The sequence below is a fragment of the Homo sapiens genome, chromosome 11, assembly GCF_000001405.40.
Source record: "Homo sapiens chromosome 11, GRCh38.p14 Primary Assembly".
NCBI classification, from domain to species: domain Eukaryota; kingdom Metazoa; phylum Chordata; class Mammalia; order Primates; family Hominidae; genus Homo; species Homo sapiens.
Genome location: NC_000011.10, coordinates 14,289,565 through 14,317,235, shown reverse-complemented (window position 1 = coordinate 14,317,235; position 27,671 = coordinate 14,289,565). Strand labels below are relative to the sequence as shown.

The following is a 27,671-nucleotide window of genomic DNA, read 5'->3' as shown; positions in this document are numbered from 1 at the left end:
GTCTGTTCTTGGTAAGGTGTATACGTTTTGAATTCTCTTCTTCCATAACTTGGATGATTGAGAATCTGTGGAACTCCACCCAACACCTATAAGGGTAGCAGTGTTAAATGGCAGTACATTAACATCTATGCCTCCATAGTACCTTTTTCTAAATTTACTCTTACCACACAGAAACTATAGTATCTCCTTCATTCTAAGGCACACATTAAAAAATTTCTTATTTTAACACCTCTGTAATTAGGTGCATTTTCTAATTGATGTCATCCTCCTGTCAACAAAAGGTGGTTATTTGTTCTCTTGTCTTGCCTCCTACTTGACTATAAGTAGACTCCTTGAAGGCAGGAACTGATAGTCATTTATTTTTGTTATTTCCAATGTCTCATTTGCAGTAGAACCCAAAGTTTGGTGAATTACAATGTAACAATTTTCGGGATATCTTAATAAGTGTTAGTTGAAATGAGAGTTTCATTAGGACACTGTTTTTGGATTGTTTTGAAACAGGGTCTTATTTTGTCACCCAGGCTAAGTGCAGTGGTGCGATCATAGCTCACTGCAGCCTTGACCTCCTGGGCTTAAGCAATCCTCCTGCTTCAACCTCCCAATTAGCTAGGACTACAGAGGTGTACCACCGTGCCTGGCTTTATTTATTTATTTAGTAGGTAGAGACAGGGTCTTGCTATGTTGCCTAGGCCAGTCTTGAACTCCTGGGCTCAAGCAATCTTCCTGCCTTAACCTCCCCAAGTTCTGGGATTATAGGCATGGATTGCTGTACCTGGCCTCATCAGGATACTTTTGCAGGGGGAGATGTAAAAACTGTAAAAAGGAGGGCCTGGAAAATGCTAATATACATAGTTAAATGCTATTCCTACTTTTCCCTCCTTTGTACCCCTTCTGTCTTTCTCTTTTGGTTGATTCTCTTCAGACTGATGCATACCTCACCAAGAAAGCATTGGTTTTAGCAGATGTGAGTGAAGTAAAAAGACTAAGAATTTTATATTTTTATTTATGACAGGCTATTTTTTGAGCATCTTTTGGATATTGCACTGTGCGATTGTCACTTTCCATTATGTAAATGAGGAAACAGTCAAATATGTTCAGAGACGTAAAATTTTAGTCCAAGATGGTGGAAGAAGGACCAAACTTCCTGTTATGGGTTTCTGATCTGGGCTTTCTGCTTTAAAATCTCTTCTGAACTACGTTTTTTTTGTCTTTTTATTAGTTTAAAATTAATGTTTTTAATAGCTCTGTGGTTTTGAGACTGAATTTTTACATTCTTATCACAGTAAATGTTTGCTTAAAAAGGTGGAGTTGATCTGGTCTCCCTTTATCTTGCCTCTGAGTACCCTAAAATGTGGATTTAATTTTAGTGCTAGAAACTGTTTAGTGGGTCTAGTTGTTTTCCTTAATTAAATTTAAGCTTTTACATGTGGGTGATTAGAAAAGTCTTATCCAGAACCTCAGTTGGCATTTTTTAGAAATGACTGCCATGTAGTTTTTTTTTAGTAGACTTTAAGAACTTTAGAGTTACAGAAAACCTGAGAAGATAGTATAGGAACTTCCCATATATCTGTCACCTAGTTCCTCTATTGTTAACACGTATGGTACATTTGTTAGAATTAATGAACCAATGTGGATACATTATTATTAGCTAAAGTCTATACTTTATTCAGGTTTCCATAGTTTTTACCTAATGTCCTTTTTCTGATCCAGGATCCCATCAAGATAACACATTACATTTAGTTGTCATGCCTTCTTAGGCTCCTCTTGGCTGACTTTCCTTGTTTTTGATGACCCAACTATTTTGAAGAGTACTCATTAAGTATTTTGTAGAGTGCCCCTCTATTAGAATGTGTCTAGTGTTCTTCTCATGACAGGTGTAGGGTTATGGGTTTTGGGTTAGGAAGACCACAGAGGTGAAGTACCGTTTTCATCACATTATATCAAGAGTACATGCTGTCAGCGTGATTTGTAACTGTTGATGCTGACCCTGATCATCTGGCTGAGGTAATGTTTGTCTGGTTTCTCTACTATGAAGTTGCTCCCTGCCCCAACCCTTTTCCATATTGTATTCTTTGGAAGGAAGTCCTTATGTGCAGCTCACACTTACGGAATGAGGATGCTGTCTAATTTTGAATAAACATTTAAATAGTAGAGGCTTAGTTTAAAAATTTACCTGGAGTTAGTGAGACTTTTGCTTTTTATAACAAAAACCATGGCTATTTAAATGAAATATTAAAACATGTGCTTGCATTTGGCTGGGCATGGTGGCTCCTGTAATCCCAGCACTTTGGGAGGCTGAGGCGGGCGGATCACTTGAGGCCAAGAGTTTGAGACCAGCCTGGCCAACATGGTGAAACCTGGTCTACTAAAAATACAAAAATTAGCCAGGCATAGTGGCGTGTGCCTGTAGTCCCAGCTACTCTGGAGGCTGAGGCAGGAGAATCACTTGAACCTGGAGGCGGAGGTTGCAGTGAGCCGAGATCGCACCACTGCACTCCAGCATGGGCGACAGAGTGAGACTCCATCTCAACAAAACAAAAACTACAAAAAAACCATGTGCCTGCATTCAAAGATTTGGTTTGGCAATAATTTTCAAGCTATTTTTCATTCTCAGTATTTCAACATTTGCTATTACATGGCAGCTGTTAGATGTTCCTCTTTATTTTATGGCATCTAATTGATAATTATTTTTTGAAAAAAATGTAATGGAAATGTGGAAGAACATTAGTCAAGAGCTCTTGAATAAAATTCGTTAATATTTTGTTCTGCATTTATTGCTTTTCTGCACTTCTTATTTCTGCATATATTATTTCTAAAATTGAGGATTTGGTTGATATGTAAATTATGATTAGAGACCAGAACAGTTTAGGACCCAAAATGATCAAGGGAAAGCACCTCGCTGGAAACCCCCATGACAATAAAACTCTCCTTGTAGTTCCCATTTGTATGTTTCAATTATAAGGCTTATGTTAAAATTAGATCAGAATTTCCATCATAGACTCTCAATTTCATAGTTGTGTAAGTGCCATATAAACCTAATTGTAAACAAAGGCATTTAATGATGGACATTATTTGAACAATTTAAGATCAGGTTATTTAGCTCACAGGCTAGAAAATACATGTCTAGTTTCACATTTTAAAGTTGAGAGATTGTGAAGATGGGCTTTGGTTCTAAAGGTGAATTTTATAGTTTTTTCTAATGATTTTCCAGATTTTCTACAATGAAGATGTGTTGTTTTATAACATAATAAATTAAAAATACTTGCTAAATTCTTTTTTCTTTACTGATTGCTCTTGAGACTTACTGCATTGTAAACAAATGACTATTTTAGATGTGTATATTAATTTCCTAGGTCTGCTGTAACAAACCACCTCAAACTTGGTGGTATAAACAAGGGAAATTTATTTTTTCATAGGTCAGAACTCCAAAATCAAGTTGTTGTCGTGCTGGTTGATTCTGGAGTCTGAGGAAGAATCATTTCCATGCCTCTGTCCTGGCTTCTGGTGCTTATCAGCAGCCCTTTGTGCTCCTTGGCTTGCTTGTGGATGCATCCCTCCAATCTCTGCCTCTGCCTTCATGTGGCCTTCCTCTCTGGGTTATTTTCTGTGTTTTGCATCTCACCCTCCTTTCTCTTATAAGGACAACAGTGGTTGGATTTAGGTCCAGGGCCATCTCACTTTAATAACTGTAAAGACCCTATTTCCAAATACGGTCATATTCATAGGTACCAGGCATTAGGAGTTGGATATATCTTTTTTGGATGCCACCATTCAGGCCACTACAGTGAGCAAGCCTCTTCCTGCATTTGCAAATAAGCACTATGAAAGTACTTTTACTAAATGCAATAATAGCTATAGAATCTGACCTATATTATATGCATATAAATGTGATTCAGAGTTACATGTTTACTTTCTTTTCATGTGGTTTACAATTGATGTGGCATTCTTTTACTATGAATTAGGCTGAGCACATACAGACAAGCTATAATTTGTGTCTCTAAATGGTGTGAGCAGGGTCTTAAATTCTGTGAACATGTGCTGTTTAGCTCTTGACTTTTTAAACCTACGTACTTGGGTATTTTTATAAGATAAATGTTTATAGTTCCTTTTGATATGAATCATGTTTGTCTCCACATAAAAGTTTAAAATTATCCCTAGCGACCTAGTCTGATTTAAATTTGTGTGCCATAAGATATTTTATAAAAACAGAATTGCTGGTAGAATGAGGTTAAGTAATCAAAAGTAAGACTGGTTGTCCTTGGTGTGAATAGACAGCCACTTTCAGAGAAGTGCTGGCCCGGCCTCCAGGCATGTGGTTTGGAGGGAATCTCTGGTTGAGAACATTTGCTGCTGCTGCTTTCCCATTTTGAGATGAACTTGATGAGGAATTTAGTTCTTCGTATTATTAGGAAAGTAAAACAACAGTGATACAGGTGTGAGATTGCTTTTTTGAATTTTATTGTGCCATAGACCTATATGTCTTCACTAAAACATAGCTCCACAAGTGCCAGAACTGGCTGGGTGCAGTGGCTCACACCTGTAATCCCAACACTTTGGGAGTCCTAGGTGGTAGGATTACTTGAGGCCAGGAGTTGATGACCAGCCTGGGGAATATAGTGAGACCTCATATCTACAAAAAAATGAAAAAATTAGCCAGGCGTGGTGGCATGCACCTACAGTCCCAGCTACTCAGGAGGCTGAGGTGGGAGGAGCACTTGAGCCCAGGAGTTCAAGCCAGCAGTAAGCCGTGATCGGGCCACTGCACTTCAGTGCGGGCAACAGAGCAAGATTGTCTCTAAAAATAACAAAAAACAAACAAAAAACAAGTGCCTGAATTATGCTGGTTTTATTCTTATTCAGAACCATATCCTAGCTTGTAGGTATTAAGTACACAACAACTATTTGTCAAATGAATAGTATATCATAGATGCTCTTGAAATCTATGTGGCATTTCAAGACGTGTCTTATTCTTTTCAATGGCTGTTTGCTATGCTGTGATAGATATGCTGTAATTCATGTAACTAGTCCGTGTTCTCCCCTTAGGGATATTTAGGCTATTAAGAGTTTTTCAGGCCGGGCACAGTGGCTCACACCTGTAATCCCAGCACTTTGGAAGGCCGAGGTGGGTGGATCACTTGAGGTCAGGAGTTTGAGACCAGCCTGGCCAACATGGGGAAACCCCATCTCTACTAAAAATACAAAAATTAGCCAGGTGTGGTGGCAGGTGCCTGTAATCCCAGCTACTCAGCAGGCTGAAGCAGGAGAATTGCTTGAACCTGGGAGGCGGAGGTTGCAGTGAGCCGAGACTGAGCCATTGCACTCCAGCCTGGGCAACAGAGTGAGACTCTATCTCAAGAAAAAAAAAAAAGTTTTTCACAGTAACAAAGCTACCATGACATATCTTGTTTGTGTGTGTATGTTTATGTAACTTTCGTAGTTTGCAGTGTTAATTTCCTTCATTCATGGCTATGTTCTTGTGAAACAAGCACATTTTAAAATATATTATTGAAATAATTTTCCAGTATAACTGACCTATATTTTCTTAAATACATTTAAAGTACTTTTATGTTGCCAGGCGCAGTGGCTCGTGCCTGTAATCCCAACACTTTGGGAGGCTGAGGTGGGCGGATCACCCGAGATCAGGAATTCAAGACCAGCCTGGCCAACATGGTGAAACCCCGTCTCTACTGAAAATACAAAAATTAGCTTGGCGTGTTGGCACGTGCCTGTAATCCCAGCTACTTGGGAGGCTGAGGCAGGAAAATTGCTTGAACCAGGGAGGCAGAGGTTGCAGTGAGCCGAGATTGTGCCACTGCACTCCAGCCTGGGCTGGAGAGACTCTGTCTCAAAATAAAATAAAGTACTTTTTTATTTTATTTTTATTTTTTAAAGACAGATTCTCGCTCTGTTGCCCAAGCTGGAGTGCAGTGGTCTGATGATGATAGCTCACTGTAGCCTGAAACTGCTGGGCTCAAGTGGTCCTCCTGCCTCAGCCTCCAGAGTAGCTGGATTATAGGTGTACCCCACCACACCGGGTCAATTTTTAGGTTATTTTTTTATAGGTCTTGCTATGTTGCCTAGGCTGGTCTCAAACTCCTAGCTTCAAGCGATCCTCTCACCTTGACCTCCCAAAGTGTTGGCATTATAGGCATGAGCCACTGCTTCTGGCCTAAAATGCTTTTAAATTTGTTTCTCCTCGAATCAGTGAAAAATCCTTTGCCACAGAGTTTTGAAAAAAGTATCAGAAGCAGTGTGTATGCACACACTGTTTTGATTTCCTCTGTGGGATGGTTCTTGGCTAATCCCTTTGAAAGGAAGTATCAGAACCTGTCTGTCCATTGCATGCAAGGCTGGGAAGGAAAGCAGTAGCCACACAATAGGTTACAATTAGAACACTGAATAAGAAACAAGGAAGAATTCCTTCCATGCCTAAGAGAGATGCATAACCTTAGGGTGACCATATGTCTACTTGCCTAGGAAAGTCCTGGTTTATGCCTGTTGTCCTGATGTAATTATTATTAGCATCCTCTTTGAGTCCCAGTTTATCAGTAACTTATATGGTCACCCTACTTAATCTTTCAGTTCTTTTTTTCCTTATCTGTAGAGAGAGAGCAGTGCCTGGTATATAGTAAATGTCATGTAAGTGCTTGCTGTCACTGTTATTATGATTACTTGACCTATCAGCAACCCTTATCTTTCGCTCCTTCTTAAATTATTTTCTTCTCTTGGCCTCCTGGCTACCATTTTCTTTGTTCTCTTCCTACTTTTAGCTGCTCCTTCTCAGTTTCCTTGCCTAGATCTTTCTCATTTTCCTGACCTCCCAACAGTGAAGTACCCCAGGTCCCAGTCTCTGTTGTTTTCTCTGTCTGATTCGTCTTGTGACAATACCATCTATCTCCTGACTCCCAAATTTGTCTTCAGCCCCACCTTCTCAGTGAATCCCAGACTCATTTCTGTAGGTGTCTAATAAGTGTCTTAACAGAACATGTACAAAACCACTCTGTATTCTTCCTCCATTCTCTACCCCACCAGCCTGTTGCAGCCCAATAAATGGTACCACCATTCTTACAGTTAATTAGGCAGAAAAACTTGGCATCATCTTTGAGTCTTTTCTGACAGACTCTGTATCTACATCCAGTTTATCTGCAAATGCTGTTGGCCCTCCTTTGGAAGTAAACACGGATCTGGCCACTTTACACCTCCATTCCAGTCACCTCCCTTCAAGCTGCAATTTTCTTTTCATGATTTATTGTAATAGCTTCTTAAGTAGTCTCTGATTTCACCCTTGACCTATAATCCAGTCTTCTGACTGCAGCCAGTATTACTTTTCATATGAAAGTCAGAACATTTTATTCATCTGCCTCAGACCCTCTAGTGGTTTTCATTTCACTTTGAATAAAATCTGAAGTCCTCACTCTGGCCTGCAAGTCTCCGCCTGCCTCCCTGTTAATTTTCTGAACTCATTAACCACTCTCTCATGTTTGTTGTTGTAGCTACACTGGCTGTCTTGCTGTTCTTCAGACATGTTACAGTACTCTCACCGCACTGCCTTTAACTTAATGTTCCCTCTGCCTGGAATGATACTCTAGATCACAGCATGGCTCACTCCTTCAGTTGATCCAGGATTCCCTTCTCCAGTGTCACATTGTGCGTGGAGCCTTCTCTGGCTATCTTATGCAGTATCATATCCTCCCCTCCAACTCCTGCTGTTGCCAGCCCCCTTCATTTTTCTTCAGAGTTCCTATCACCTCTGATGTATTATGTTTGCTTATTTATTGATGGTCAATACTTCAAGAAACTGCCAGCCCTCTAAGAGCCTGGGGATTAGATCCTCAGCTCCTGACACAATGCTTGGCACATTATAGGTGTTCAGTTAGTATTTGTAGATTAAGTGGGGTGGTGAGTGAGCCTAGGGAAGATTCTTGTGGCAGTTTTAGCAGTTTAGTAATAGAACATGTGCTGTGGAAATCACCCCCTTTAATTCTAGTTTTGCTTCTACAGACCATTCTCTGTTCTAGAAGAGGTGAGAAATGAAATTGGGGTTTAGGATATTGGTAGGTAACGGGATAGAGGGGAGAGGAAGTGAAAATGGAAGTAACAGTCTAGACTCTGGGAAGCAAAAGTTACAACTAGAAGTGAGTTGGTTACCTACCTGTTTATGGGGCACCCTTCCATTTCTAAGTTTGGAAAGGAAAAGAGCCAATTTTTGAATACTCAGTTTTAGTTAAGCAGTGTACTGAGTACTTAACAATATCATTTAATCTTCACAATAGCCCTTTCAAGTAAGAATCATTATGATCATCTTTTAGGTGAGGAAATTGAGACTTAAGAGATTAAATAACTTTCCCAAGATGATACAGCAATTAAGCGGGGTATGTAGGTCTGACTGCCTCTAAAATACATGCTCTTTACTTCATAGCACCTGAAGGGGGAGTCTGTGTGCAGTAGTTCACATTTCATGTGGAGCTGTAAAGTACAGAAAATGTTCACGTTTTACTCCTTGTAAAAAACTCTTGAAAGTGTCTCTCAGCTTTGCAAGTAATTAAATTTGGTGTCAGTGAGGAGTGACTTACTGCAAATCCTACAGCTATAAAGTAGCAGAGGTAGGGCTTCAAGCAAATCTTCCTCTTTTAAAATATGATATTTTGCTGTATTCCACAAATTTAAAACAAGGAAGTCCTCGATAGCACCTATAAATTATATTTGGCATATTGTAGGAGCTAAACGTGTCATAATAAAATTATATAGCTGGAAAGAGTCTTAAAGAGGTCATGAAGGGCAAACCCCTCATTTATAGGTGAGAGCCAGGAAAGAGGTTTAAGAGATTTACTCATCTAGGAGCACTGAGCTAGTTGTTTGTATAGCTGGGACTAGAATCTAGCTTTTATTACTAAAGAGTTTATGTTTAATCTGTCTAGGTCTTTCGAAACTCTTGGGTTCCTTCTTTCATTCATGTATTTCAAATTTGAAAGCTACAAGAATTGTTTTCCTTCCATCCATATCTCCTAGCAACCCAGTTAAACCCACAGGTAAAGTTAATCAGTTTCTTGTGTATCTTTCCAGAGATATTTTGTGCACATAAAGCAAATACATAAACTGTGGGTATTTAACAACATATCTTGCAGATTGCTGTATATTAATGCATGAAGTCATTCCTTTTTTTAATGGTTATATTCATATTGAATGAACCTTTCGTAATTTAACCAGGCATTTGCTGAATGACATTGTCCTTGCTGAAGCACATTGTGTTTCCAGTCTTTTAAAGACATTTCACTATGAACAACCTTGTACATATCATTTCTTATATGTGCAGACCTATCGGCAGGATAAGTTTCTGGAATTGAAATTGCTGGGTCAAACAGTATCTTTGTGTATTTAAAAAAAAATGACCTACTTACACCTTTACTCGTAACTTACAAATGGGGCGTTTCCATTTTTAATGAAACGACTTTACTTTTCTATTTGGCAGTAGCAGTTTATAATTTAAAAAAATAATGAATCACTTATTTTAAGGGGTACCAGGATTTTTTTTTTTAAACTGTCGCAGGCTATGTGCTATGTTAGTATGGCAGGTTAAAGAAAGTATAATGGAAGGAGTATTGCATTGGAGTTAGACCTGATTGGAATCCCAGTTCCACTTTGTGACCTTTGGCAGGTTATTTAACTGCTGAGCCTCAATGGTCTCATCTGTAAAATGGTGGGCGCTGTTATCCCAGCTTCTCGGGAGGCTGAGGCAGGAGAATCACTTGAACCAGGGAGAGACGGAGGTTGCATTGAGCCGAGATTGCACCACTGCTCTCCAGCCTGGGCGACAAAATGAGATATTCTGTCTCAAAAACTAGCCTTACCAATACGGTTGTCTTGAACTATTGTATTTCATCACATTTCCCCCCGTACATTTTAGTATATCTGAAATTGAGATGCTTCATAGTCAAAGGCATGTCATGAGTGTATTGGTAGCAGTTTTTTTTTCCCTCTTCCTTTTTCTGCTTTTTTTTTGTTGTTGTTGTTTTTTGTTTTTTTTTGTTTTTTTTGGTTTGGGGGAGGGGGCAGGGTCTCCTCTGTTACCCAGGCTGGAGTGCAGTGGCACAATCACTGCTCACTGCAGCCTTGACTTCCCGAGCTCCCATGATCCTCCCACTTCAACTTCCCACATAGCTAGGACCACAGGCATGTGCCATCATGCCCTGCTAATTTTTGTATTTTGGGTAGACACTGGGTTTCACCATGTTTCCCAGGCTGGTCTTGAACTCCTGACCTCAAGTGATCCACCCACCTTGGCCTTCCAAAGTACTAGGATTATAAGCGTGAGCCACTGCGCCCGGCCTTTTTTTTTTTTTTTTTATCTTGGCACATAAAATAATGATGGTCTTACAATCAGTGTCATCTTAGATTTGATGAAAAAGGGTAAATTCACATACTGGGACAAGTGAACTATGCTAGGGCATGGTATAGGCTGAAGCTCAGTGTGATAGGAAAAGCTCAGGGTAGGGAATGGGGTGTTAGAGGGATAGTTACAGTGAGGGAAGTTTCATTCTAGATCAGCAGTCAGCCCAGTAGAACAGCCACCTAGTGGGAGGCTAGTACAACTGATTGATGGCTCAGGAGCAGGTATTGCCCAAAATCCTGGGTATGTGGAATTGGAATTGTGGAGAGTTGTTGGTGGGTAATAAGACTTCGCCCCACAGTTGAGATTTAGGAACTATGTACTCACTTATGGCAGGAAGGCTTTATAAGAAGGGGGCTATGAGAGAAAATATTTGCAAATCATCTGGGCACAGTGATGCATGCCTGTAGTCCCAGCTACTCAGGAGGCTGAGATGGCAGGATCCCTTAAGCCTAGAGTTCGACACCAGCCTGGACAACATAGTGGGATCACATCTCTATAAATGAAGGAATGAATGAAAACCATTGAAAAAATATTTGTAAATCATATTTCTGATAAGGGATTTATATCCAGAATATAGTACTCTTACATTCAATGATAAGATAAAATTTAATAAGGGGCAACGATTTGAGTAGCCATTTCTGCAAAGAAGATATACAAATGGCCAATAAGCACACAAAAAGGTACTCAACATCCCACTAGGGAAATGCACATTAAAACTGCAGTGAGAGACTATTTTACATCCGTAGGGTGTCTGTTGTAAAAAAAAAAATTCTTTTTTTGTTGGGGTGGGGGCGGCGGTGGGGGATAGGATCTCAGTCTGTAGCCCAGGTTGGAATGCAGTGGTGCGGTCGCAGCTCACTGCAGCCTCTAACTCCTGGGCTCAAGTGATCCTCCTACCTCAGCCTCTCACATAGCTGGGACTACAGTTACGCACCACCACATCTGACTAATTTTTAAATATTTTGTAGAGATGGGGGTCTCACTGTGTTGCCCAGCTGGTCTCGAATTCCTGGGCTCAAGTGATCCTCTTGCCTTAGCCTTCCAAAGTATTGGGATTACAGGTGTGAGCCATCGCGCACGGCCAAGACTGAGTTTAATAACAGGTCTAGGTGAGGATATTGAAAAATTGGAACCCCCAAACACTGCTAGTGGGAATGTGTCTGTGGGTTTTAATTTGGGAATTCAAGGAATATCTCTTGAGGGTTTTAATTTGAGGACAGTGGGAAGAGAGATACAGTGTTTTTGTACTTAGAATGTTTTCAGAAGAAGGCTAAACCCAGGGAAAGCTATTGGAGTGGGGAGTTAGGTCAGGCTGAGAAGGCTGGGGTATACAAGTGGTACCCCAAAGACAAGCTTTCCCTCTATACAAGTTTTGTTTAGGCCTGGCTCTGTCCTCTGGAAAAGGAAAAGAAATTCTCTTCCCATTTCTTCTTAGGAAAAATTACCGTGCTTTGGAGGTTGGAACTTGGGGCTGATACTGGCAGGGCCATATCCAGTAGTAGCTTTTGTGGTTTGGCCTCCGAATATACCTGCAATTTAGGAAAAAACTCCAAATAACTTATAAACAGACTTTTGTCATAGAACCAGTTTGTAAGCTGACTTTGTACTGTACTTTCTGCTGGCACATACCAGGCCCATTCATTTGCAACTAAATACTATATGTGAGGTAATACATATATATTAGCTGAAAATGTATGGAAGGCAAATGAAGGCACATGGTTGCTTTAGGCAGTCTGAGACAACTGGCAACACTGAAGACCTCACTAAATTTTGTTAAAAAGGAACTAAAAGGATTACTGGATTTAGTGTAGCTTTTATTATTCTGCATTAGAGTTCTGGGGATTAAATTATAGACATATATAATTGTACATGTTAGATTAAATGAAATACTAATTTCAGTCAAAAGCTATACTTCAGTGAAGGAATATCAAGCATATTGGAAACATTTGACAAAAAAAATAAGGGAGGATGTTGCAGGGAACAAAGGTTCTCTGTGACATGACAGCTGCTGCTAAAAAGTGACACAAGGAGGAGCCCAGCTCTGGCTCACAGCTGCCTGAAGTTGCTGCAGTCTTCTCTAGTGTTACCAGAGGAATTTGCTCTGCTCTTGTTTTAGAAAATGGAGGCTACCAATGGCTAACTAGGTCCTTATTGTGCTTGGGGAAATTAATTCTTCTTTCCCCACTGCAGTCCTCCCCTACTTTGAGATCTGTGTGCAAGTATATTACTTAGCTTCAGGAAAGTTTTAAAAACCTTGAGCATGTAAATCGAGTTTTATATGTCCTGGGACATACATATAACACAATTTTAACTGGAACTCTAATTCATTTTAGCTTCTTTTGAAACCCAAAAGACAGAATAAAACAGTAGGTGCCAAGTTATCCTCATATTCCAAGAACTTGCATAGTGGGTAGCCTTAAACTGGTTTTGCACATGTAGCCCATACCTACCTCTAGGGAATAAAAGTGTTGAGATTATTAAGGGTTCTAAGACAATGTTTTTGGAAAGAGCTATTAGTATGTTGTATGTTTGGTGTCCTTTCCTGCTTCCACACGTAGTGGAGGAGAGGAGAAAGATGCTTCTCCTTAAGCCCCTTTCATTTAAGCCAAATGATGAGGGAGGCTCCAATGGAGTCATTCTGAGAATTTGACATGTATCCCCTCGAGTTTGGGGAATGAAAGGTTTAGTATACAAATCTATGGATCAGTAGCCCTGAGGCAGCAGAGCACAGAGAGGGCTGTATGTTAGCACTTTGTACTTAGAAAGACGTTAGTGTTTCCTCAGGCTGCTGGGTGAAACCAGCTTAAAGCCATCTAGAAAGGGACACTGTGCTCGGCCACCTAGAAGGTGACATGAACCAGGAGGAAGGTACCCATGGAAACCCCAGAGGTGGAGGGTTGGAGTTGTAAATGGCCAGGTCTCACTTAAGTTCTGGGAATTGAGTATGGAGGGCCCTCATGAAAAAGTTGGTATGAACATCACACTTAATTGGTGTGGCCTTTTGACACCCCCATAGCTTTTCCCACTGCTTCAGTTCCCACTCTGAAGGAGCCAGAGACAGCCTTGTTGTGGGTAGAAGAGATGCAGAGCAGGGAGAGAGAGATGATGACAGGACCCCTCACATCCCCCAGCCCAACTAGACTTCTCAGCTCCACCAAGGAAGGGGAGAAGCTTTAATTTAGATGAGTATTGATTACTGCAGTTAAGACAGTTATTGAAACTATGGTGTTCTTGGGGCTGAAGGATATTTAAACTTTTTTCCCCCCTTTTTGTGGAGATGGGGGTCTCTCTCTGTCGCTGAGGCCGGTCTCAAACTCCTGGGCTCAAGCAGTCCTCCTGCCTCTGCCTCCCAAAGGGCTGGGATTACAGGCATGAACTGTTGTGTTTGGCCTAAATATATTTATAGTCAAAGAATGATTTTAAAAAATTATGAGACTTGCCTTAGATTTCATTCAGGAACAAGGAAAAACTTTCCCACAGAGGGGCTTGGAGGGAAAGTTTTATGCTTATACCCATTGAGTTTAACTCAGTATATCAGTTATTCATACATTCACTTAGACACATACATGAAAGGATAAGCAATTGTAAAAGGAAATTGTAAGTAGCAATTATATAGTATACATTAAGCTTGGTATATGTATTTTCCAAATCACAACTTATTACTAATAAGACAGAAGTTGAGAAAAATCCAAACTGTTGTCACTTTAAGGGTAAGAGAATATTGAGATTGTTTTCTGGTTGGAGTGTTGAAAGCATTGCAAAGAAAGCAAGATGTGATTTGGGCTTTATCAGCTATAATTTATTAAGGGCCTACTGTGTGTCATCTGTTGGGCTTTGTACTCTACATAGACATAGAGTATTTTTAACTTTTCACAACAATCCTGCAAAGTTGGTGTGATTTTCATTTCATAGACAAGGAAACTGAGGTTCAAACAGGTTAAGTGAGCTACTCTAGTTTCCCACAGCTGGCAAACTGATAGAACTGTGTCCGGGTCTATTTGACTTACATCTCAGACTCCCTCAATTCTGCTGCCTCCCTAGGCAGCCCCACACACCAGAGATACAGTGGTGGGACTAGGGACAGGATGGCTTCAGCCAGCGCTTCTGTCCTGGAAGAGGAGAGTGGAGGCTACATAACAGTCACTGGGGACCTGTGGCCCTTATTAGATCCCGAGGGGCAACTTTGTGAGCTTCCCCCTACTCCCTGGGAGTGGGAGCAGCTCCCTGGGAAGCTTTTCCTTTTCTCTTACAACTTCTTTGCTGCCACATCTGAAGTGGGCATTGGAATATGCCTTCCCTAAACTAGCTGTTCTTGCCCTTTTCTGTTGAGGAAATGGAGTTAGAGATGTGTTAGTTTACCCAAGGACTCAAACAGCTAGCAAGTAGGATGGCTTCTGGATTTGGATTTCAGGCTCTCCGACTCCAGAGCCCTTGTGTTTTCTTCTCATCATGTTGTCTCCAGTAAAGATATAAATGCATCTATTAATAGGAAGCAAGTTAATGAAATCTCATTTTGGTTTATCATAATTTAAAAAACATAGTACGTGTTTTATGGATAGAAGTAATAATAGGGAAATGCTGTCTTAAACTGGAAGGGAGCAGAGAATCACAGAATTTTGCTTCTAGAATGTTTCATGACCTGATATCTGTGTGTAGTGTGGGGGTAAGGGGTGAGCTGAGCAGGAGCTCAAGAAGGAGAAGAAAAGAAAGAAAATTTGTTAGTCTTGGTTTTTGGTGTGTGTGTGTGTGTGTGTGTGTGTGTGTGTGTGTGTATGTGTGTGGTACATTTACTCCTTGTTTTATAGGCCAATAAGGGAATGAGAAATTTGAAATTTTATGAATTTTATTTATTTATTTTAATTTTTGAAAGAGTCTCGCTCTGTTGCCCAGGCTGGAGTGCAGTGGCATGATCTTGGCTTACTGCAACCTCTGCCACCTGGGTTCAAGCGATTCTCCTGCCTTTCTTAGCCTCCTGAATAGCTGGGACTACAGGTGCCCGCTATCACGCCCAGCTAATTTTTATATTTTTAGTAGACACGGGGTTTCACCATGTTGGCCAGGCTGGTCTCGAACTCCTGACCTCAGGTGATCCACTTGCCTCGGCCTCCCAAAGTGCTGGGATTATAGGCCTGAGCCACCATGCCTGGCCTATGGATATGTCACTTTCGATGGGATCAGTGGAAGCAGGAATGGAAGATGAGTGTGAGTGTGTTTTACTTTCAGAGAGGCAGATTAGCAAAGTTATTTGATGTTTAAGCACTAAGCAGGTCACTTTACTTCTCTGACAAAGTCCCTGCCCTCATGGAGTTCCTTTCTAGTTCGGTCGGGGAAGAAATGGACAATAAAAGTAAAAAATAAAAGACGAAGTAGATAAGATATATGTGGTGTTGAGAGAAAAGGAGGAAGGGAGAAAAGAGGGAGGGGGAAAAGAGAAAAAAACCTGGAAAATATTCTGAGCAAGAAAAAACATCAGCCTTCTACATGATGTGTAGTCTTGAGTAGAATGAGGTGAAAGCTCAGGGTTAAAAAAGGATCACTGTCTCTTTCCTTATGTGCTACCACCAGATTTAGAAAAAATTAATTTTAATATGAAAACTGTCAAATATATACAAAAGTCCAGAGAACCTACAACCATATACACGTTGCCCAGATTCAGTATTTTTCAGGGTTTTCCTACACTTGTTTATTGTTTCCGTTCTCTCCTTTCCTTTTCCCTTCCCCTTTCTATACCCTATGGTTTTAGAGAACTCCTACGACTTTCCTGAGAATGATGCTGTGCTCAGAACTGCCCTCCATTTGTTTACAACTCCCCAGTGGTACCTTAGAGCTAGCCTATCCTTTTTCTATGCAAGGGTGGTAGACTTAACCAGTGTGCTGGATTCACTGAGTTTCCTAGAATTTCCAGTAAATTACCAGTCCCAGGGTGTAGACCAGGCACCACTCTGTGGCAGTGTTTGGGAACTACACTTTCACCAATAGCTTGGTGTCAGAAGAAAGTGTGTTGTCACTCCTTACCACTGAAGGCGGAAGGGCAACTCACCCCTTTTTCTCTCCTTCCTTCTTCTTTTCCTCCTTAACGTGGCTTCTTTGAATGGGGAGATACTGAGTTGGCAGTTCTCCTTAGGAGGCCAGCCCGAGCTCCTGTTATGCAATCTAGTGGCATGTAAGCAGGATTATCCTGCTTATCCCAGCATAATATTATACTTTGGCATTATTAGGGGCTTCTGACAAACTTACCCAGATCAATTTTTTTTGAGGCGGGGGTGGAAACAGGGTCTTGCTTTGTTGCTCAGGCTGGAGTGCAGTGGTGCCATCATGGCTCACTGCAACCTCATCTTTCTGGGCTCAAGCAATCCCCTGACCTCAGTCTCCTGCCTCAGCCTCCTGAGTAGCTGGGACTATAGGCGCGTGCCACCATGCCTGGCTAATTTATTTTTTGTAGAGATGGGGGTTGCCCAGGCTTGCCAGACCCGATTTTATCTCTGTCTGAATGTGATAGCTTCCCTAATCCTAAATGTTTCTCCACATCTCCTGACAATGTTAAAGAAACTGAAGTTCATTTGCCCATCCATACTACCGGGAAGGCATGCTGCCCTTTGAATGGGAGGGTATTCCTTGTCTTTTGACTAGGATTCTTCTGCACACATCCTTTCATGTCTATCAGGAAACATGTGCTCTCTCCATCCTCCACCCTTCCTTTCCCCTCAGTGTACTCTTTTGAGCCCTTGGGTCCACCCTTCTTCCCTATCCTTGCCTGAACCTTTACTGTCTAGCTCAGTGCAATACTGTGCTTGCTTTTTTTTCCTCTTTTTTTCTCTTTCTGCTACAGAACATCCTTTCTGGGCTGTGGTTGGTAACTTTTTATAATTTCAGGAGAGAGACTGTTTTCTTTTCTGGCAAATTGCTGAGGCTGTGTTGATAAGTGAACGCATACATAGTTCTGTACATAACTGTAGTATTAACTGTCTAACTTCTCTTGCCTTCTGAACAAGCATGGTATTGGCACTTCATGCTGTTTGTTTTTTGGCTTGGGTATAGACTTAAAATGCCCCAATCCTTCTCTTGCCCCCAGTAATACCTCAACTACTGGTGGTTGTATAAAAGGCACTGGACTCTGAAGATAGAGACCTTGTCTTTATGGAGTATCTTTATGGAGTACTTAGTAGGTGCTTCATACATGATCACTGAACAAATGAGTGAGTGAAATCAAGAGAGCAAGGACAATTGGCTGAAGGGTTTCAAGTAGTGGGAATGAGGCTTTGCATGGTGAACAACACAGATCAAACTGGATGGCTTTGCATACTACATAAAACCTGGAGGGCTTTGCATAGCATGTAAAGAAACTATGGAATCCTGTAAGCAGCAGGGAGCCATTTAATTTATATGTTCTCTAGAGGTATAATTCATATATGTACAAAAAAGTGTACAGATCTTAAGTGTACAGCCTGATGGGTTTTTACTTATGTAAATTAACTGTGTAGTTGCTGCTCAGATCCAGAGACTATTTCCAGAACCCCAGCTTTTGTCTTGATTCACAACGTTTGGATACCAAATCCCAGAGGTCGTGTGGTTGGTCTGAAGTGTAACTAGGACTGGAATTATTACAGCTACTCCTGAGCTTAGCAAATCTTTATACTTGAGTAAAAAACACTAATTCAGACCATTTAACTGCATGACAAAAACAATAGTTATTATTATGGTTGACATTTATTAATCAGCATGCCTTGGCACTTCATATGCATTATTTCATTTTACCTGCTTCACAGGATTTTGTTCCTGTCTCTGTTTTACAGATGCTGAAGATTAGACATGTAAAGTGATTTGCCTTAGGTCCCACAGCTAGGGAATAGCAGAGTTAGAATTAAACCCACGACACTTCATCACGGGGACTGATTACTTATTGGTGATCTGTTGCCTCAAATATCTGGTACCCAAGTTTAACAAAAATGTTGCCTTTTTGGTGAGAGGTGATGCCTGTATTTGTTACCTGCACACAGTGAATGCTCTTAGGGATATTCTGACCTATGGATTCTTAGAATTTTGAGAGGGAAAGAGGTTTTTGATTCTATGATAGGCAGTTCCCAGAGTGATGTTTCGTTGGAGGAGGATTGTTTCAATGTGGATGGCTCTTTACAATTTACGTGTAGCCAGTAGATGATGGTCTCTGTAGACAAAGTATGAAGATAGGACACAGCAAAGATTGGGTGTGAACCTAAATATCCAAAAATCCCAACAATGAATTTGTCTTAAAAATTAATATGAGTGGAAATAAATGCATGTAGCAGTATGGCAAAATTCTTGTAATACTAAGATTGTGTTTCAAGAGTTAAGACATCCAAAGAAATGTCCATAGCGAGTAGAGGTAAAACAGTTTATTATACTGGACTTCAAAGTTGCAACAATCTTTTATATAACAATCAAACCAACAATCTTTTGTGCATGTTAATATCTTAATCTCACAACGCCAAGAACTGTCACATTTAAAGAATTCTAGCTATTGTGCATGGCTTGGCATTTGTAAAAAATGTATTTAACATTTGTTTATTATATTTTAGGCCAAATCAGTAGGGACAGTGTAGCACTTTTAGGCATCAGCTGGGAGTAGTCAGTGAAATTCAGGTTTTACAAGATATAAAAGCATGGCATATGGGGAAACATGTTTCAAGAAATGAATCTTAAAAAGTACAGCGCATGCTTTATCCAATTTGCTTGTGAAAGACTGCTGATTCCTGTTGTTTAAAATAGTGGGTGTAGAGAATATTGTTGCCAGTAAAATTTATTTACTTTTTGAAGTGGCATGGGTGCCAAAAAGTAAGTTCATGATTGTTTTGATACCTGCTTTTTTTTTTTTTTAAGGCTAGTTAAGTGAATTGATACCTGTTTATTTTTAAATGGTGATGGAGTGGTGGAGGAGATGGCTTCCTACTAAAAGTTACTGCTGTTGGTGAACATTTCTTTTACAGACTTTGTTCAATACATCATGCATTGAAGTGAAACATCAAAAAACAAATAGGATTATAGATATGGAATTCTGTGATTAAAGTTAAACATTTTAATTTTAATTTAAAAAAAATTTTTTTAAGAGACAGGGTGTTATTCTGTCTTCCAGGCTGGAGCGCAGTGTGGCATGATCATACCTCACTGTAACCTCGAACTCCTGGGCTCAAGCAGTTCTTCTGTCTCAGCCTCCGGAGTAACTAGGACTACAGGTGTACACCACCACATCTGGCTAAGTCTTAAATTTTTCGTGGAGATGCGGTCTCACCTTGTTGCCCAGGCTAGTCTGGAACTCCTGGGCTCAAGTAATTTTCACAAAGTGTTAGGATTACAGGCATGAGCCACCATGCCTGGCTTTAAAGTTATTCTTAAGACTTAAATAAAATGTGGAAAGTGTCCTTCAAAAAAAATATGTAAAGTCATGGTATCAGGCAGATTAATATATCTCCTCCCAAAACCAGGGGATTCTTTTCTGTCCTCTTCAAGAGTGCTTGTTTCTGAGTAGCTCTCTGGTGTTTGCATAGGTCGCCACGAATGTTGGGTCCCAAGAGCCAGGAACCCTTGCCTGAAGAAGGCTAAATACTCTTGATGCTGGTTCCTAGCATTAAGCTGTCTCCTTCCAAATCATTCCTTCAGATTTTGTAATGAGCCAGTGGGAAAATGGGCTTTGAGGAAGTCAGTCCAAAGTAGATCAAAGGAGATACTCAGAACAAATGGAGGATGATGTTGGTGTCCTGGTTAGTGCCCTTCTGTAAGAAGAGGGAAATGCACTCTCTCAGATTATTGTTGTTATCTTTTTTAAACCTTTTTCTTTTTTGGAGACAGGGTCTCATCCTGTCACCAAGGCTAGAGTGCAGAGTGGTATGATCATGGCTCACTGCAGCCTTGACCTTCTGGGCTCAGGTGATCCTTTCACCTCAGCCTCCTGAGTAGCTGATTTTTTAAAACCCTTTTAAATAAAACTGAAATGTAGGCTGAGATTCTTCCCTTCTTACTTGGATACTTTAACTGTCCCCCCCCTTTTTTTTATGGTAATGACTTCGGTAGTTGGGAGGGTTTGATCAGAGAAGAGAGGAATAGAATTTAAGATAAAAAAACAACAAAAGATGTCAGTGAAAGAGTAAGTTTGAGGTTCCTACTAATGAAAAAATTTCAAAATGATATTTTCTTGTAGTACATAAGGCAGTTGAAAGGGGAATAAGACAAAGTGTGAGAAAAGAAAGGTATAAGATGAAATGTTCCAGGCCTCTTTGTGTTGTCTCCATTTTTTCCAGATACTTGACTTCTTAGGACTGATGATTATAATCAGGTTGCTAATTCAAATAGGTCTGAATTATAACTTACTGTGTTTTCTAATTTTTCTAGAGTTTGAGATCTAGATTCTTAACCTTAAATAATTATGAAAAAAGTTGTAGATCTTTTACAGTCTTGCATATTTCAGATATGAAAATTTAGAGATACCTAGTACCTTTTCTTCACGTGAAGGTGCTCATAAGAACATTTGGTGGGGAATTGTCATAGAGGGTAAACCCTAGTACAGTGAAAATGTTTTGATTAGTTCTGGATAAGTGGAATTTGTTAAGCAAAGTTACATTGGTACATTGGTAGGCAGGTAATCATAAATTTTATTTTATTTTTTATTCTATTTATTTTATTTATTTTTATTTTTGAGACAGGGTCTTGTCCTGTCTCCCAGGCTGGAGTACAGTGGCACAATCATGGTTCATTGCAGCCCCAACCACCTGGGCTCAAGTGATCCTCCCACATCAGCCTCCCAAGTAACAGAGACCACAGGTACACACCACGTCGGCTAATTTTTTAATTTTTTAATTTTTTTTTAAGAGATAAGAGTCTTGCTGTGTTGCCCAGGCTGGTCTCAAACTCCTGGCCTCAAGTGATCCTTCTCCCTCGGCCTCCCAGAGCATAGGATTACAGGTGTGAGCTACCATGCCTGGCCATGAATTTTAAAATAAAGTTTTTTCTTTTCTTGCAGTCCTATTTTGTAACGGATTATGATCCAACCATTGAAGATTCTTACACAAAGCAGTGTGTGATAGATGACAGAGCAGCCCGGCTAGATAGTAAGTAAACTTCCTTTGTTTGATAATTTGCATATCATATTTTTTAAAAAAGTAAGCGCTGATGTTTTGCTATGTTAAATAATATATTTGAAATATTAGATGATCTGGAATATTAGCCCATGTCATTTATAAGTTTTGATTGAAGAGTCTGCATAATGGGTAATTTAAATATTCCTCAATAAATGAAAAGTAAAACGATATTTGTATTGATCTTGTTCTAGTGAAACTGGTCTCATTGCAGTTTGTTGAAGTTGATTTTATTGGGACAACTGGAAAAAACCTGTCAGGTCTCAACTCTTCCTACCTTTTGGCAAAGGTTAAAATGGATGAAGTGAATATAGAAAAAGTTTGATACTGTTACTTAGAATTTATAGCACAGAGACTTTAGCAAGTACTGTTTTGTGTCTAAACATCCCCCCTCTCCACAAAGAAAGCTCTATTCTTCTAATATGTATGATTCTTTTATTTACAGAGATCAAAAGTTACATTAGCACCTGCACTAAGTATGGTATTGGGGGATAGTGGTTATAACTCAGATTTCTTTCTTGAATTTACAGGTATCTTTTTCAGTTTTTTCCATGGAGGGGATAAAACATTCAAGTGATTTTAGAGGTCACCTGACTCCATCTGATTAAATGTGTTTGATATTTTTAAGCTTCTAATTAGTGTGCTAATATATTCTAACCACAAAGTCAACCCATACTGATGAAGATAAACTCTGTAACTGTCTGCCATTAGAATATATTTGCCTTTAGTATTAAGAATAAAGTACTAAGAAAGGAATGCCATTTCTGTATTATACCAAGTATGAGGCTCTCTAGAGGACTCACATTAATTGGTCTTGCCCTTGTGGGGAAGCAGTTTATAAAAAACAAGTATAATTACATTTGTTGTTTTTTCTTTAGTTTTGGATACAGCAGGACAAGAAGAGTTTGGAGCCATGAGAGAACAGTATATGAGGACTGGCGAAGGCTTCCTGTTGGTCTTTTCAGTCACAGATAGAGGCAGGTTTGTACCATATTAGAATGTAGATCCACTGTTCTTGTCAAGATCACTAGACTTTATTGAGTTTGGACTTTTTGTTTTTATAGAAAAAGGAAAAATAAAGTACTAATTGGGGCATGAGACTTGCTGAATTCTGATACTTGACCAAATTGATTAATTTGTTTTTGATTTTTTTTTTTTAAGTTTTGAAGAAATCTATAAGTTTCAAAGACAGATTCTCAGAGTAAAGGATCGTGATGAGTTCCCAATGATTTTAATTGGTAATAAAGCAGATCTGGATCATCAAAGACAGGTGAGAAGGAATTTCACTGTTGGGAAACCAATTGTTTATAATCATGTGAGTGAACTGATAGATTTAAGGAAATAATTGAAAGTCTAGTAAAAAAAAAATACGGTGCTCCATGCCACTTAAGTGTTTATAGCTGAGTCTGGCACACTGTATTTACAGAAGTCACAGCGGGTGAAAAATAAAAAGGAAGTAGATTTGGGGAAATTAAAATTCCTTATTTTCAAATAGTTTTTCATAAAATTTTATAAGACTTTATAAGCCTGCAAGTGTTTAAACTAGCTTTATTCGCATGTAATAATTTCTTGGATTACATCCAAAACTCTAACTTAGTTGGATAATTTCAAAGTTACCACTAAAGGCCTAAGTTATTCGGTGTTAATACTAAATTAACTTCATGTAGAGAATGGCTTTCATTTAAATTGCAGTATTTGGATTTTTTTCTAAGTCACTTTAATGACTGAATTTTCTGTTAATTCTTTACATTGGCTAGCTCTAACACTTCAGTAACATTTAATAAAATAATATTTTTAGTATTTAGTTTGCAGGCTAATTTATTCTCACTTGTTTCTTTACCCACTTACTGAAATTTTATTAGTTAAAACAATTTTTTGGTAACATTGCACATTCATCTTTTTTGTAGGGGAGGGGAACAAGGTCAGTTGTATATTAATGCCGGCTGTTCATTTGTATTAGTCCATTCTCATGCTGCTAAAAGGACATACCCAAGACTGGGTAATTTATAAAGAAAAAGAGGTTTAATGGACTCACAGTTTCACATGGCTGGGGAGACTTCACAGTCATGGCGGAAGGCGAAGGAGGAGCAAAGACACGTCTTACATGACGGCAGGCAAGAGAGAGTGTGCAGGGAAACCGCCCTTTATAAAACCATCAGATCTCCGAGAACAGGATGGGGGAAACCGCGGATGATTCAATTATGTCCACCTGGTCCCTCCCATGACACGTGGGGGTTATGGGAACTGCAGTTAAAAAAGATGAGATTTGGATGGGAACACAGCCAAACAATATCAATGTTATATGGCTTTTTTTAAAGGTCTTTTGTCTCTACCCCACATCTGAAATGTATTGTTTAAATTGTTTATTTTGCTGGTATTTAAGTATTCTTGTTTTTATATTATGTTGTGTTTACAGATTCTTAGGATTTTGTTGGAAAAGTGTAAACATCAGGAAAAATTGGTTGATAAACAGCTTTGAGGGCAGCTTTCTATTTTGTAACTGTCTCTGATTTTAGCTGTGTACATAAAATTTTATTGGCGGCATACCCAATTTCAAACACTGACTTAAGAGAAAATGATATATATATATATATATATATATATATATATATATATTTGTTTTGTTTTGTTTTGAGACGGAGTCTCGTTCTGTCGCCCAGGCTGGAGTGCAGTGGCGTGATCTTGGCTCACTGCAAGCTCTGCCTCCCGGGTTCACGCCATTCTCCTGCCTCAGCCTCCCAAGTAGCTTGGGACTACAGGCGCCTGCCAGCATGCCCGGCTAATTTTTTATATTTTTAGTAGATACGGGGTTTCACCATGTTAGCCAGGATGGTCTCGATCTCCTGAACTTGTGATCCACCCACCTCGGCCTCCCAAAGTGCTGGGATTACAGGCATGAGCCACAATGCCTGGCCCAAGAAAATGATATATTATCTTAATGCTAAGATTTGGAAATGTCCACTGATGAAACTTGGTATAGAATAAATTTTCCTGCTAAATCTCGTTCAAATCTGGTTATAAAGTTAGAGTGAAAAAATTTGTTCTTCATTTCAAATCAATATAAACTGTTTGAAATAATTAAGAATATGGCATTGCTTACATTATAAACCTAGCATAGACAGTTCATCTATTTTTTTTAGATTTAATTTTGTTTTTTTTTAAGACCATTTCCTTGAGGTTTCTAAACCTGATTATATTTATTGATGTTGCCCAGTGGACCCTGCCTGTGGCTCTTCTCAGTTCTTTCTAGTACTAGAAACTCTATATGTCATTGCATCTGGGAAATAATGGCAAAGTAGATGTGCATTGAAGGAGTTCTCTTCCTATCTCTCGCTGACTTTTGCCTCACCCCTATATGCTTCCTGTCCTGAATATAGAAATAGGATCTTTCTCAAACCTTCTCATGGTGGTAGCTCCAGTAAAGGAATAGGTAGGAGACCTAGGATAGGTGGAGATCTCCTGTAGGGTAGGCAGTGGCAGATTAGGGAAGGGAGGAGGGTGTATGCCCACTAGAACCCCAAAGAGGCTCTGCCATTATCAGCTTGGGTCTATATGAGTTATTTTTAAGTTGTCTATACACCAGATTGAGGATCCCTAGCCCAAAAATCTGAAATCTGAAATGCTCCAAAATCTGAAACTTTTTGAGAGCCAACATGATTCCACAAGTGGAAAATTTCACACCTGATGTCATGTGATGTCACAGTGAAAGCTTTGTTTCATGCACAAAATTACTTAAAATATTGTATAAAATTATCTTTAGGCTATGTGTGTAAAGTGTATATAAAAAGTAAATTTTGTGTTTAGGCTTGGGTCCCATTCCCAAGAAACATCATTATGTATATGCAAATACAGTATTCTAAAATCAAAAAAATTCCAAAATCCCAAACACTTCTGGTCCCATGCATTTTGGATAAGGGGTATTCAACCTGTACTGAAGATTGCCAGAATGTGGTATGCAGTTTCCATCTGTCTGCAGACAGTCAACATATTGTGGCACTGGCTTTGTTTGTATATCATTGGATTATAATTTTTTTCGTGGAAGTTTTTTTTTTTACTTTTTGTAAAAGTAATAGATTCTCAGGGTAAAAAAGTGAGAGAACAATATAGGAAATGATTTCCTTATTTCAGTCACCCTAAAGATACGTAGTGTTAGCTTGCAGTAAGTTATTTTTATTTATTTTTCCATCTAAACCATATAAATAGACATAAATTATGTATATCTTGAAAAGCTTAGATGTATATATATCCAAGGGAGAAAAGCAAGTGCCTGAAATCTGATTGCTTAGTTTTCTGCTCATTTATATGGCGTCTACTCTCTGAAGGATAGACACAAAGAAAAGTTTTATTCCTCCTTATGCTTTTTCTTCCTTTGCACCTGTACTCAGGCATGTTGACTACTCTCACTTTTAAAGTCATGACCACTAATCTTTATGGGCCTTTAGTGCTGACTGGGAATCCTACATTTCCCTAGTCCACCTATTTCCCATTTGTTTGGATAATTTTTACATACTTTCTCATTTTCTTCAACCTGTAACACTTTCTTCTCTTTCCTCACTCTCAGCTGATAATGTGTATGTTTTCCTGTTTCTGTGAGAAATTTCTACATGTCCTTACCTCCATATCTACTAACATGAGTGCACAGGTACCCCATCAAGTTCACTTCCCTCCACTTACATGGATAAACTGTTCATCTGTCTATGATCAACTTCTCCACCAGACACTGGATCCTGTTCCTTCTCACCAACTCATGGACATTACCCCAGCAATTGTTCTATTTCAGATGAACATTTCTGCATGATCATTCCCATCAGCATACAACATGCTACAATGTCTCTTATCTTTAAAACAAAAAAACTACAGCATAAACTTTTAATCTCACATTCCCCTCTGAGTATATTTTTTCTGCCCCTCTTTAATAGCAAAACTCCTGAAACTTACTTTCTCTACTTTTTCTCCTGCCGTTCTTGATTCTACAGACATCAGGCATTCAGTGCCACTGTCAGTATCACTAATTGGACAAATGTCAGTGACATTTGACATGGTTGATCACTTCCTTTTTGAAGCACATTCTTTACTTAGCTCTGAGATAGTATTTCCTGCTCCTCCAGCCTCCCCAGTGTCCTTTGTTGGTACTACTTTGTCTCCGTGTCTCTCTAAAGTGTCTTGGGCTCTGGATGTGCAAAGACAAACATGCCTTATCTCCCACCCTTAGGGGGCATGCTATTGAAATTGAGATACTATAGCATGAAATTGAGATGCTATAGTAGAGGTTTTTACCTTTTTTTTCCCCCCTGAAACGGGTCTTGCTTTGTCTCCCAGGCTGGAGTGCAATGGCACGATCTCCGCTCACTGCAACATCCACCTCCCGGGTTCAAGCGATTCTCCTGCCTCAGCCTCCTGAGTAGCTGGGCTTACAGGCATGGGCCACCATGCCCAGCTAATTTTTTATATTTTTAGTAGAGATAGGGTTTCACCATGTTGGCCAGGCTGGTCTCAAACTCCTGATCTTGTGATCTGCCGCCTTGGCCTCCCAAAGTGATGGGATTACAGGTGTGAGCCTCTGCGCCCAGCCGGTTTTTACCTTTTTAACATCTCTTCACAATTAAAGGTGTCCGTCTATAATGTCTTGACACACTTACGTTGTTCTACCAAGTCAACTTGGACAGGCCACGGGGATGCTGTAAAAGCTTCTTTCCGCCTGTTCAGAGATGTTTAGTTTTTTGTCATCTGTAGGTTCTGAGTAACCAGTCTGGCTTGCTCTCTGTTGCCGACACAGCTTGTTTTTTTCTACCTTTGTCTTAGACTTGATCATTTGTAGTTTCTTTACCTTCTAGCCTATTTTCTTGTAGATAATAAATGCCATTTCTCCTTGTTCTTTGAATTTGTGGGTCAGCACTGGCCATTTCTACCACTGGCTCCTGAGATTCTGAACCCCACCAGGGTTCAGGGATATCATCCAGAAGAGGCTTTGCTTGCTTGCTTATGGCCTCTGTATCTGTGGACTGGGTTGCTTCTTTCATCCTTCCATCCATTCATCCAGTATTTATTGAACACCTTTTCTAGGCAGTGATGATGCAGCAGTAGACAGAATAGTCACTGAGGTTTACGTGAGATAAAAAGATATCTGTAGAATTTGAGTGGTTGTTTAGTATTACCAGCCATCTGGTCCCTTAAGA

At 39.6% G+C, this 27,671-nt stretch overlaps 1 protein-coding gene across 14 annotated transcripts in view, besides 2 other annotated features; it reads left to right on the top strand.

Annotated features, from left to right (window-relative positions):
• RRAS2 (RAS related 2) overlaps nt 1-27,671 on the top strand; it is an 86,587-nt gene that overhangs the window by 47,271 nt on the left and 11,645 nt on the right. For 13 of the 14 annotated variants that reach the window (XM_047426567.1, NM_001177314.2, NM_012250.6 and 10 more), the window contains exons 2-4: nt 21,381-21,468; nt 22,374-22,476; nt 22,657-22,765. In XM_047426567.1, the coding sequence (XP_047282523.1) occupies nt 22,409-22,476; nt 22,657-22,765 (177 nt within the window). In that variant the 5' untranslated portion in view covers nt 21,381-21,468; nt 22,374-22,408. Of the gene's footprint in view, nt 1-21,162; nt 21,182-21,380; nt 21,469-22,373; nt 22,477-22,656; nt 22,766-27,671 lie in introns of those variants that run through there. The other variant, XM_047426568.1, reaches the window with a different exon arrangement.
• Nucleotides 4,478-4,527: an enhancer, noted in NCBI's record as "active region_4470". NCBI's record gives its function as "activates an Ori minimal core promoter by ATAC-STARR-seq in GM12878 lymphoblastoid cells {active_cell/tissue: GM12878}" and the evidence as "EXISTENCE:reporter gene assay evidence [ECO:0000049][PMID:35858748]".
• Nucleotides 8,140-8,269: an enhancer, noted in NCBI's record as "active region_4469". NCBI's record gives its function as "activates an Ori minimal core promoter by ATAC-STARR-seq in GM12878 lymphoblastoid cells {active_cell/tissue: GM12878}" and the evidence as "EXISTENCE:reporter gene assay evidence [ECO:0000049][PMID:35858748]".